This window comes from Homo sapiens, chromosome 2, assembly GCF_000001405.40.
Source record: "Homo sapiens chromosome 2, GRCh38.p14 Primary Assembly".
In the NCBI taxonomy this organism is placed as follows: Eukaryota; Metazoa; Chordata; class Mammalia; order Primates; family Hominidae; genus Homo; species Homo sapiens.
This window is the reverse complement of record NC_000002.12, coordinates 212,112,136-212,125,158: the sequence shown is the minus strand read 5'-3', so window position 1 is coordinate 212,125,158 and position 13,023 is coordinate 212,112,136. Positions and strand designations below refer to the sequence as shown.

Below are 13,023 nucleotides of genomic sequence, written 5' to 3'. Positions count from 1 at the left end.
AAGTTTATCTCCTTGCTATATATTTCTGTGGAATCTATGCCTTCCTACTCTCTGTGATTAGCACATGTAATTTGGGAATATAAAAGTGAAAATGTTCATCAGTGCGTGGGTCTATGCCTCTTAATGACGATCGAAATATTTATATTCAGAGAACTGGGATAGGCTTGTGGAATAGAGAGTTTTGAGAAAGATATTATCATTGCGCATATCATATAAAGGTTATGTAATTTCACGTGTATCTTCTTGTCTTTGCAGTGTGTGCAGGAACGGAGAATAAACTGAGCTCTCTCTCTGACCTGGAACAGCAGTACCGAGCCTTGCGCAAGTACTATGAAAACTGTGAGGTTGTCATGGGCAACCTGGAGATAACCAGCATTGAGCACAACCGGGACCTCTCCTTCCTGCGGGTAAAGCTGTGGCTTTCTTTCTCTTCTTTGTGAATGGACAGTGGCGTCATGATGCATACAGGCAGACCTGTGTGCTGATACCTGGAAGGGGTGCTCTTCTGCCTGGCAGGCACTGTGACTATAGGCAAAAGATAAGAGATAGCGAAACGCACCCAGGAAAAGAACAAGAGTAACAAAGCCATAATGACTGACGCTCCTGAGTTTAAAGCAGTTGCTGTTGCCCTAAGATTGAGAAAAGATTCTGTCACCATGTAGTACATGACATCTAGCAAATCTTTTTCTGACAAGCTGTGAACTAGGAGAGTCAGAGGACCAATCAGATAACAATTGATAACTCTAGCCAGTCGTCTCCATTTCTGCCTCTTTTCTGCCACTTCAGACTTTTAGATTATTTTATATCACATAAGGAGACTAACACTGTTATTAAAAAAAAAGAAAAGAAAAGGAAAGAAAAGCATCTGGTTTTGAAAACCTACAAATTATTTAAAGTAGACTCATAGGAAATCACAAGTATTTACATAGATCAATACGTGCAAGAACACAAATGTGTATATGTATACTTGAAGTTGCTCAGACAATCAGTCCTTTTGGAAATTATTATTATTATTTTTTGCTTTCATTGATCTATACTCTGTTAAACTGGCTGTTAGTGCTAATGCTTACAGTTTCTTAAGTTTTGCTTTAACTGGAATATGTTTGGGAAAATCTGAACTTGAAGGGGCCTTTGACAAAGTGAGATGGGGATGTGGTCTTTGCACAATTAAGAATTTATGCTTATATAAGAATTACTAATATACATTTTAAATAATAGCTTCCCTAGAATACATTTGATCTTGTTTTCAGTAACCTTTACAAACTTCTTAGGAGCACTTTCGTATACATTTAGGTTAAATGTTTTGAATACTGATATAGTAAGCCAGTTAGTGGATAGTAAATTATTTAGAGATCTATGATAATGTTAATAATTCTATACTTAGATAAGTCGTGAAAAGGAGTGATATTTAAATATTTTCAATGTACTAAATATGTCTAAAATTGGTAACAACCTCAGAAAATGAACCACCTCAAAACATAAATAACACTGTGTGGCTTATGATATCCATTTTTAAAACGACTCTCATAGTTGGACTAGTAAAGCAAATGAACTGAAGGTATTTCCTTATTCTCTACTTGATTGATAGAGCTCTGTTTCTGTAAGTTATGTGTCAAAAGATTTTAATAATTATGATGTTTAATTTTGATGTCTTTGTTTATAAAAAATAGTAAAGGATATCTGAATCATAGAATTAGAGGGCCTTAAAAGAACTTACTTTTTTGTTTTTTCTTTGTTTTGTTTTGTTTTGTTTTGTGAGATGGAGTCTTGCTCTGTCGCCCTGGCTGGAGCGCAGTGGTGTGATATCGGCTCATTGCAACCTCCGCCTCACGAGTTCAAGCAATTCTCCTGCCTCAGTATCCCAGGTAGCTGGGATTACAGGCGCATGCCGCCACGCCCGGCTAATTTTTTGTGCTTTAGTGGAGACAGGAGTTTCACTGTGTTAGCCAGGATGGTCTCAACCTCCTGAGCTCAGGCAATCCGCCCTCCTCGGCCTCCCAAAGTGCTGGGATTACAGGCGTGAGCCACCGCGCCCGGCCCAAAAGAACTTACTTTTTGAGGGAGCTGTTGTTCAAAGAAGGGAGCACATGCAAGCTATCCTAGAACATATGACAAGAAACTCAATGACTTTATAGAATAGACAAACTAACAAAGAAAGCTGAATTCTGAAGCAGGGAAAGGAAATAATTTAAACAGTCTATTAGATTGGAATAATAGAAAAATTTTAAAATGCAATCTAAAGATCTTTGTTTTTCTTCTTATGTTTGCTTTACTTTTCTGTACGTGGAACTAAATTTCACTGACAACAAAAATAGTTGTGACTATTGTAAATGACAGTCATTATATTAAATAATATATAAAAATGTCTTTTTATATATTTTATAATAATTCTTATGGTCTTGTAAGGTAACAGCATGGAATGATAAAAAATAGACTTTAGTCCATATTTAACCTTTAGCAATATGAAAGTAGCATGTAGATATTTTTGATATATGGTCTATACTGTGTTGGGAACCATTTTGAATTAAAAAGTAAGATACATTATTAGAATGAACAGATTTGGAAAAAGTAAGATAAGGAGGGTCAAGATTTCTGCCTGGATAAAAAGTAAGCTGTTTCTTTTACAAAAGTAAATTTTGGTTCCTAACTAGCATCTCTAAAAGTTCATCTAAACTTTGTACTAATCCATGTGCATATCTTTATTTTAATATATGTATTTAAAGATAATTCTAATAGCACTTAGTTTTTGTTTTCTAACTTATTTTTTGTTCCACATATCTTTTTTATAAAAAATCATTTATATTATGACATGTACCCATTCATGTCATATGCAGTACTTATGTATTACACCTTTCTAATCCTTAGAAAACATATCTGCAATCCCAAGTAAACAATGACATTTATTGTCCTTGGCTTCAACAATCATGTTGAGGATGACAGATATGTAATATATAAGTACTGTATACGTATATGTGTGTATATATAGGCATATTACATATATGTGTTTGTGTATCTATATACATATATGATAAATTATGTTTTATATGTGATATATATGTGTTTGTATGTGGGGTGTGTGTATGTATGAGTTTATATACATATATATATATATAAATATAAAATATTATCATTACTAAGACACAAATAAGAACCCAGAATCAGAAAGAAGGTGTGGTCCTATGTTAATGGTAGGGGTGGAGTGCATGCTAGGTTATCTAAAGGATTCAGGAAAAGTTTCATCAAAGGAGTGCTTGAATTAAATCCTGAGAAAATGAACAGAAACTCAAGAGGTGAGTGGGTTGTAAGAGAAGGGCATTTCAATGGGAGTAGTATAAGGCTTAGAAGGAAGCCCCTGAATCAGAGTTAATAAATGTGTACTTAGTGTGTACTGTTTTAGACACTAGGAATATACATTGCAAATAAATCACATGTGACTCCTACTCCCAGGGAATCTATAGTATAGTGTTGATGAAGAAAAAGTTTCAGGTGAAATAGAATACTCCACTGGAGAGGTAGAGAACGTCGATGGTGGAGATATTTAGGAGACATCAGCATCCAAGTGACAAGTTAACATTTTGTAATTGGATAAGGTAGTCAATGGAGATTAAAAAGAGTAAGATCAAGGAGTGGTTCAAGAACAGAATACTCTTTAACCAGGTGTGGAGGCTCATGCCTGTAATCCCAGCAATTTGAGAGGCTGAGGTGGGCAGATCACTTGAGGAGTTTGAGACCAGCCTGGCCAACATAGTGAAACCTCGTCTCGACTAAAAATACAAAAATTAATTAGGTGTGGTTGCAGGCATCTGTACTTGGGAGGCTGAGGAAGGAGAATCCAGGAGGTGGAGGCTGCAGTGAGCTGAGATCACACCACTGCACTCCAGCCTGTGCAACACAGCGAGACTCCGTCTCAAAAACAAACAAACAAACAAACAAAAAACCAGAATACTCTGGATGCCCCATTGTCTGTTTTTTTGGTGAGCTCAGTATTAGTAGTTACTTTTCTTACTGGGCCCTGAAAGCAGAGACTATTTGCCAAAATCTTCATAATACTACTGTATTGGATGATACATTATTTCAAATTATACCTTTGAATATGCTACAAAGCTCTCCATTTAATATAAAATTTCATTCCTTCCTAAAACCACATTATGGCTTATTTGTGCTCTTAGTAGCTTCTCTCCAAAATATGTAATCTGTCCAGTATTAACACATTATAGTAAGTGGAGTCCATGTAAAGAAAATATAGTGATTTTACCATTATTTCCTATAAGTTTCAAATTGTATGAGTGGATAATAAATTTGTATATACCTATTATAGACATAGTTCTCATCTACATTTATGCACCAAATTTCTTATAATGGTTTTACAGTTTCCTTCCTCTAAGAGTGACCCAAATGATGTATTTAGAGGATCAATAGTCATCTTAAATTTCATTCTGGATTCATTTCTGTCTTTAGGAACTTAAGAAATTACTTTAATTTTTAAAGGATTTTTATCCGTATTTTCATCTCTAGCTAGTGAGGTCGTAGTGTTTTGCTTTGGCATTTGTTTTATTTTGTATGAAACCACTCTAATTTCTATGAATTGTGACAATTTTCCCTGATACCTCATTTATCTTATTCACTATCTGCATATTCAACATTTATGACTAAGACAGTGATAAGACATAGTAAATATTCATTAAATATTTGTTGAATGGACAAATGAATTAGTATTTGTCTTAAATTATAGACCCCAATTTCATATATGAACTATTGTCTAGATAAACATGTGAGTCATGTTATTTCAGTGTGACCTCACACACAGGCCAGGTATGTGGGAATAAGACAATCAAAATCCCTTCCCATGAGGATTTGGAATTGTCACCAATAGCATTCAGTTTCTCTATTAGGTTCTTGACTACTCAAATGCCATCACCACACAGCCATCTTTTGTCTTGTGGTTTGAATATCATAGAGAGCTGCGCAGATAGAACAAAGCCAACACACTGAAACAGAAACAGAGTAGAAAAAAGCAATATTTACCCCAAATAGTAATTTGGGGAACCATTCATTTCTGTTTCCTACACTACTTCTGATGACTGATTGCAATCCAGCCATTTCCACCTCTACTCTTGCAACTTTATAGTAATTTCCCCCTTTTCCCCTTAAACTAGAAAAAGATTGTTTCCTTTTAGTACACTAAAATGCCTTGTCTAGTACGTCTCCTGAGATTTCAAGAACACAGCAAAAGTGAGCCTTTGCAATTGAATTGAAGATGCACTTTTAAATAATTTTAATGTTTTGTAGATACTTTCCTTAATCTTTGTTAGATACATTTTGTTGAAATGCTTTTAAATGCATTCTTTTCAAGACGCTTTTATTACAGCAATCTTGATGCTTATCTCTGTAAACACCTTTCATGCCAGCTTTCTTCTGACCTCCAGTTCTTGCATTTCTTTTTGGGAAGAGAAATCCAGTTTACTATGTTTAACATTCAACTACCAAGGAACCACATTGCTGGCTAGAAAAAGGCCCTAAAACTTATTTATTATGTATTTTATCACCATCACAAGGTTAAGACATATAATAGAAAGCAGCGAGGCATAAAAATCACAGATTTTGTGCTATTGTCTTACACTTTGTGAACTCTTTAAAACAAGGCAAAATGTAGTAAGTAATGGGAATGAACTATTAGACCTTTTACCCTCATTAGAATTCTTGGGAGCTTTCTCTCCTTTGTCATTCCATTGGTCTTCTTTGCTACTGCTGGCACTTAATAACTCAGTGCTTCTAAAAAGGTGCCTGACCCACCAGCTTTTACATTTTAAATTTATTTTCTGTTTTATATATTAACTTTAAGCAAATAACTATAATGTGTCAATTATGTGTAAAGAAGTATACTATGAAATGTAGATCATATAGTGAGTGTTAACACCTATCCTCAGTCATTGCTATAACGGGTAATAATTTTTAATCTGTGGCTTGAATTTAGTTGTGTGCAAATTATTTTAGAAATAGTATACATTAAGATTATAAGGAGATGAATTTATTTAACAGTTGATGCATGGATGTGGAATAGTTACAATATCGTAATTCATTGGAACTCCTTATGCTGTAGTCTAGAAACCTTAAATTTTAATCATTATACATGTCTTTTATTTCTAATAAATGAATAAAAATAAAGTAATATATAAAGATGCCTTTTAAGATAACATTAATACTCTATTATTGATAGTAAAAGGCAATGACTTTGAAAAAGTCAGAAAGTATAGTTTTTTGAAGCAAAAAGATTAAAAAAGATAACTTCTCTCAGATAATGAATAACAAATGCATGTTATTATGAAAAGGTAACACATTTGAAAAACATAATTTGCTTTTATATATATTTGGCAGAGCTATATGGCTGTTTTTGAATGTACAAGAAATAATGCCATCTAAAAATTTCTATTTTTTTTTAAAAAAACTTTGGAGAAATCATGCAAATAGTTTATTTTTCTCTACCAGAGAAAATGTCCTATTTTTAAATTCAAATATAGCCTTTGTCTTTAGTTAATAATTAACATTTTATAATGCTATGGAATTGTCATCCTCTTTTATTAGGATATGTATGGGATTCTTCTGAGGATGTTGCTTTTCAACTACTCTTCGTAAGACATAAAATTTGCATTACTTTTCCACTGCTAGTAAAGGATCTATACTATTTCATTCTCTTTCTCATGAATATTCCTCTTCTGACCAATGACAAACATTTGTAGGAAGGCAGAGAAAGCTGCAACTCAGACAGCAAAACACTGCCAATCTTACTGCAGCCAAAGACTTTGGCTTCATTAGCACAGTTTTGTTACAATAAAGTCAGGAGTGATGTTTGACAATGAGTTTCAAGTTGCAACAAGTAACCATGTCTTGATCTATTCCTTCCCTGTTTTCAGTAAGGATGAACAACCATTGAGAGTTAATATGAAATTCTAAAATATTTACGTTTAGCCTACTTCTAGCTTTAGTGCTTCCTTTTCATTGTCCTCTGGCAATTAGAAGCACATGACCAGAATTAAATCCAACAGTGTGGGGGATGGTTTTTATGTTTGTGTCTGTTTTCCATATCTTCCTCATGTACTTTTAACTCTGTGTCCGGGCTAAGCTGTCTGCTGCATAGCATGATTTAGAAAAACCCTACATTGAAGAGTACATATTTCAAAATAAATAGATAATTTATACAGTACTTATTATTTTGAGTTAGAAAATGATTTACTGAATAGTTTGTTCAAATACTAGCTACCAACACCCATCTATATTTATTTTTAGCTTATTAAATACCAGATAGAATGACTTGTGTGGCAGAAATTATGTTGGAGAGAGAGAATCAGGATGAGAAAACTTGTCATATTTTAGAAACATTAGAGAGGAAAACACCATTTAAATTAAACATCTATGACATAACAAAGTGGGTCCACATGAATTACAATCTCATATTTCCCAAAAAAGATGATTTAAGTGCAACATTTTCAGATACAGCATGCATATTTCAGTTATGCACACATTTTGATCTGACTGTATAGTTCCTACTATACAAGCCTGAATTTGTATTCCTGATAAACTTTGTAAGATAATGAAGTGGTATATTTGTCACTCAAAAGGTGAACAAGTAAATGAGAATTCTGTATCAAGCATTTGTAATCTGTAAGTATCTATTCATTGAGCACAGTAGTCTATGTTTTTCTTCCATGTCACTAATTGAGACAGGTGGCAAGAGAGGATTACAAGATCAACATTGAAATACCTAGACTTCGCCATCATTAGATTCAAGGAAACTGTACCTTCAAGAAACTATTGGTTGGGTAAACAAGCATTAAAAAAGAGATGGTGATGGAACTTTTTCTTTAATTCTTTCTGTTTTAATTTCATGTAAAATTGCTTTTGTGGTAAAATGTTACATATTTAGATACTGCATTAACATGATGACCTCTTAGCAGGGTGAGATAAAGAATGCTAAAAAGGACACAGAGAGAATAATATTGTAACATGTCATTTAGGCCAAAGCAGACATTTTGGGTTAAATAGAATTTTCAAAGCTTTGATAGTATCTGAAAGCTGTTTCTAAGGCCGTTAAAGATAATACATATGCAATTTTGTATGTGTGTATTTACGGCTGGCTTTTAAATTGAAACTTGATTTTGTACTAAATCTAATCATGGAACTTGTATTACATTTGAAAAAGCTATGCAATTTACACTTGGCTTAGGATTTTTTTTTCTCAGAGGTTAAGTACCATTTAATCTAAAAATATACATTGACTCAAAATTCTGATGCTCTTTCAGAAATTCCACAAGATAAATCAAAGGATAAAAAAGGTCTATATTCTTTATTTGGCATTTATTTAAACATTTATTTTAAATTTTCTTTTTAATCATTTCAATTAAATGTTAAATAAAAATATTTTCAATAGGCTGATGCTGTGACTCACACCTGTAATCCCAGCACTTTGGGAGGCTGAGGTAGGAGGATTGCTTGAGACCAAAAGTTTGGGTAACATAGTGAGACCCTGTCTCTACAAATGTTTTAAAATTTAACCAGTGTGGCGGCACATGCCTGTAATCCCACCTACTCAGGAGGCTGAGGTGGGAGGATCATGTGAGTCCAAGAGTTGGAGGCTGCAGAGAACTATGATTGTGCCACTACACTCAAACCTGTGTGACAGAGGAAAACCCTGTCTCAAGAAAAAACAACAATAAATAAACCAGCAAAATATGTACATCTATGAGTTTCCTCTGTATCTTAAGCATATTAAAAAACTATAAATAAAATGGTATCTATGATAAAGATGTATAACTGATAGTAAATATTTGAAGAAGTATTAGAAGGAATGATACAAATAAAAAATAGACTAGTATTTATCAATCTAATATAAATAGACTAGTATTTATCAATCTAATATATATAAAGATATACATATAAGTATAGTATATACAAATATTGTAAATATAGTGACCATTTATATCTATGCATATATAAATGTAAATTAGCAACCGCTTTCCAGGAATCAAGAATCAAATTAGTATATAATATTAACCTTATATAATGTTTCTAGTTAAGTATAACCTACTAAATAATGAAAACAATCTATTATTTCAATAATAATAAATAACAATAAAACTGTTTGCAAAAAGTTTTTTTAGCCCCTAATTGCAAAGCAGTTTCCACAAATATACCTTTGTTGCAAATATATTTAAATTAAAAATTAATTTATTAGGATGGTGAGCAGATGCAAAGTGTTTCTTTATACCTCTGGGCATTGTGGTATTTAAATTTGGCTTCAAAATGTGCATATAATGAATTTATAGGCTTGTCTTAATTTTAAATGAGAAAAATACATCCAGGCACAGTGGCTCACACCTGCAATCACAACACTTTGGAAGGCCTAGGTGGGAGGATTGCTTGAGCCCAGGAGTTTGAGACTAGCCCGAGGAACATGGTGAGACCCTGTTTCTACAAAAAAAATGAAACAAAATAAACAAATAACTAGAGAAGTCAAGTAACAAATCCATTTTACTCTATGATTCTTTGATATACTTTGCTCAGGGAAATTGAGCATGTAAAAGTTATTTCTTTACTTCTTTTATTTGGGAACAGCAAGGACCTTTATTCAAAGAGAGAGAACACAATTTATGTGATGTTGTTAAAGAAGTATATTGGCAATGAGCTATCTTTTAATTCTAAAAACCAAACATTGGAATATAATCAATACCTTTTTTTCTTCAAAATTTCAAAATATACTACATATATTTTCATTAGCTTTATTTTTCTCTGACTCTTAAAATGAAACACTTTGTTTTCTTTCAAAAAAAAGACAGATTTAAACTTGATGAACAATTTTGCATGAGACCAAATCAATTTTAAAGGTCTCTCGTTGGTCACATAGAGTATAATTTAAGGATCAAAAGTGTAAAAATAAAATGTGAAAACTGTCACATTTAGAAATATGGTAATTATTTCTCCTGATCTCTAATTTGAACTCATTTATTATAAAAATAATATAGTAAAATTTATAATGAATGTGGTAAAATTAAGGTATTTTAGTAAACAAAGGCCTCTTCAAAATCATTATCATTAAATTTCTACCTGAAAATAAGAATATGTAATTGAATGTTAAAGTAAATCCTCTTAAATAATTTAGTGCTACTCTTTCCAAAAATAAAAGTGTCTATCATGATGCCCAGCACCTTGTAGCCCCTCAACAAGAGCTGGTTGGCTGTACCTAACCCTATTAGGCTTCTTCCTTTCTTCTTTGATACCCTGTATACCATTATTGAGCCATGCTCTGAAGACTTGACAGTAAGTTTTTACAAAGCTTTTTTGGAGGTTCAGTTTTTGGGTGGTGGTGATTTGTATTTTCAGAGAGGTAAAATTGCAAGTCAAACACTTGGTTGTTTTTAAGAGGCAGTCAATGGCTGAAGAAGTACAAAGACTCTACATAGTTTGTGAGGGTTGTTTCAACATCATTTCGCAGAAGCAATGAGAAGTATTCATCAAAAACTCAATGAGGCATCAATGAAGCATTGGGAAGCATTCATGAAAGACAAACACAGAGAAAGTACAAGCAAATATGGATTACATATCTGAATTGTATTACTTTCCTTCTTAAAACTTTCCATCCTCTTAGGATAAAGTCCAAAATTCTTATTAAATTCCTACAATTGTTTGGTCCCTACCAATAAGCTTTGTCTTCCCACTGTCACTAATGACATGAAAACTCACTGGCCATCTTTCAATTATAACCAACTTCCTTTTGGTATTCAGCTCTTTCTGACTCTACTGACCTTTCTCTCGTTCTCAGATTTTCTCCCCCATGAACATATGGATACACCTAATTATTCATGTGCTGGCTAAGTTCTGTTCTGGTTTTTTAGGTCTCCATCATAAATAATTTCTTCAGAGATATTTTACTAACTACCTAGTCTAAATTCCTCCCATTACATACATTCATAGCACCCTCTGCTTCTTTGTAGCACTTCTACTATGACAATTATTTAAGTATTTGTAAATTCTGTCAACACTCCTAAATAACAAGTACCAGACAAAGCCCATGTCTAGTTCACTGCAGAATTCTAGCATAGTACACAGTGTCTATCATGGGGTGGCTGCTCAGCAAATACTTGTGAAATAAATAAGTAAGCAAATTTTATAGCCATAAGAATTCTTTTATTTATGACTTTAAATAAAAAGTCATAATCAGGAAAAAAATGCACAGGAATTACTTTACATTACTTACTTTTCCAACTGAAGTTCCTCTTTATAGTGTCTTGCAGAATCTGTAGTACCTTTCATCTTACAGCCTATGAAATGATTTGGTTAATAATAAATGATATACTACCCATAATGGAAACATGGGATACTTAGCTTATATATTTACACTCTTACATAGAAACCTAACAGACATATAGGTAGTGCAGCTTATTGGCTGAGTTGCATGACTTGAGCAGAGTCATGTAGCCTTCACAACTTTCACTTTCTCCTTCTCTGACCTGCCTCGAATACCTGAGAATCCCTCCAGTAACAAATCCCTTATGTCCAATTCCTTTTTTTTTTTTTTTTTTTTTTTTTTTTTTGAGATGGAGTCTCGCTCTGTCACTGAGGCTGGAGTGCGGTGGCATGATCTCGGCTCACTGCAAGCTCCGCCTCCCGGGTTCACACCATTCTCCTGCCTCAGCCTCCCAAGTAGCTGGGACTGCAGGCATCCACCACCACACCCAGCTAATTTTTTGTATTTTTAGTAGAGACGGGTTTCACCGTGTTAGCCAGGATGGTCTCGATCTCCTGACCTCATGATCAACCCTCCTCAGCCTCTCAAAGTGCCGGGATTACAGGCGTGAGCCACCGCACCCGGCCATACCCAGTTACTCTTTATAAACTAAGGTCTCTGTGGTTTTGCATGTAATTTTCTTCCTCTATGGAATGTCTTTTTACCCTTCTCTATTTGGAAAATCATACAGTCTCTACTAACTTGTTCTAAATATAAGCTATCTCTATTCCCCTAACCTTAACATGCTCCCCCAAATTCGATCTGTATTTTCATCCCCACCCTTACCATCAAGACAAGCAGAATTAATGTCTTCCATTGTTTCTCCATAGTCCTAAGTACCTACTGGTACTATACCGTATGTCACATTGTTTAGGCCTGTGTTAGGTGGTGAGATATACTGTGCATTTTTGTCAATTTATGAAGATTGTACAGAGTAAATGTTCAGTGAACTTTTATTTTTTGAACAGATAATAAGCTGTGTTAAATGGTTTTCTTCCAGTGAATTTTGTTATACTGGAATTATAATCTTTGTAATAAAAAGAAACAGTATTTATAAGCTTCCTTAGACTCACGTTTCATGTTGGCATGGACTAACACCTCGGAAATACCATTTGTTAAAATAGGTTCAGGGCACTGTGCTGGTTTTATGCCTAACACCATCTCCCACTCCTTATTACAACCCTATGAATAAGTGTTGTTATTCACATTTTGTAAGTGATGAAACAGGCTCAGAGAATTAAATGACTTTCTCGGGACCACAGAGCTAATGGGCAAAGTGAGCATTTTAAACCAGTTCTTTCACTTTAAACTTCACACACTTGGACTTTGTCTTGCTGCTGCCTACTATTTACCAATGACCCATTTGTTACTTAAAGAAACCAGGATTTTAGAAAAATCAGTACAAGGAAGGGAGGTTTTCATTAAAAAAAAAATAAAATAAAAATTTCGGAACTAGATTGAAAAAGGTAGGCCTCAGTAGAGCCACAAAATTTGGGGACCCTGAGCAGACAGAGCTAAGATTACTCAGTGCTGGGGACAGTGGGTATAAGGAAAACTGTACCGAGAACTTGAGAGACAAATTCACCTCCTTTGCTATTCAGGTTTTATAGTCAAAAGAATTAAACAGAGACCAAGGAGGATGATTGCTTGAAGCCAGGAGTTTGAGATCAGCCTGGGCAGCAAAGTGAGACCTTGTTTCTACAAAAGATCTGCCTGTGCTCCTACCTATTCCGGAGGCTAAGATG

At 34.0% G+C, this 13,023-nt stretch overlaps 1 protein-coding gene across 10 annotated transcripts in view; it reads left to right on the top strand.

Moving 5' to 3' along the window:
• ERBB4 (erb-b2 receptor tyrosine kinase 4) overlaps positions 1-13,023 on the top strand; it is a 1,163,086-nt gene that overhangs the window by 413,644 nt on the left and 736,419 nt on the right. For all 10 annotated transcript variants that reach the window (NM_001042599.2, NM_005235.3, NM_001439006.1 and 7 more), the window contains exon 2: positions 256-407. In NM_001042599.2, the coding sequence (NP_001036064.1) occupies positions 256-407 (152 nt within the window). The remainder of the gene's footprint in view (positions 1-255; positions 408-13,023) is intronic.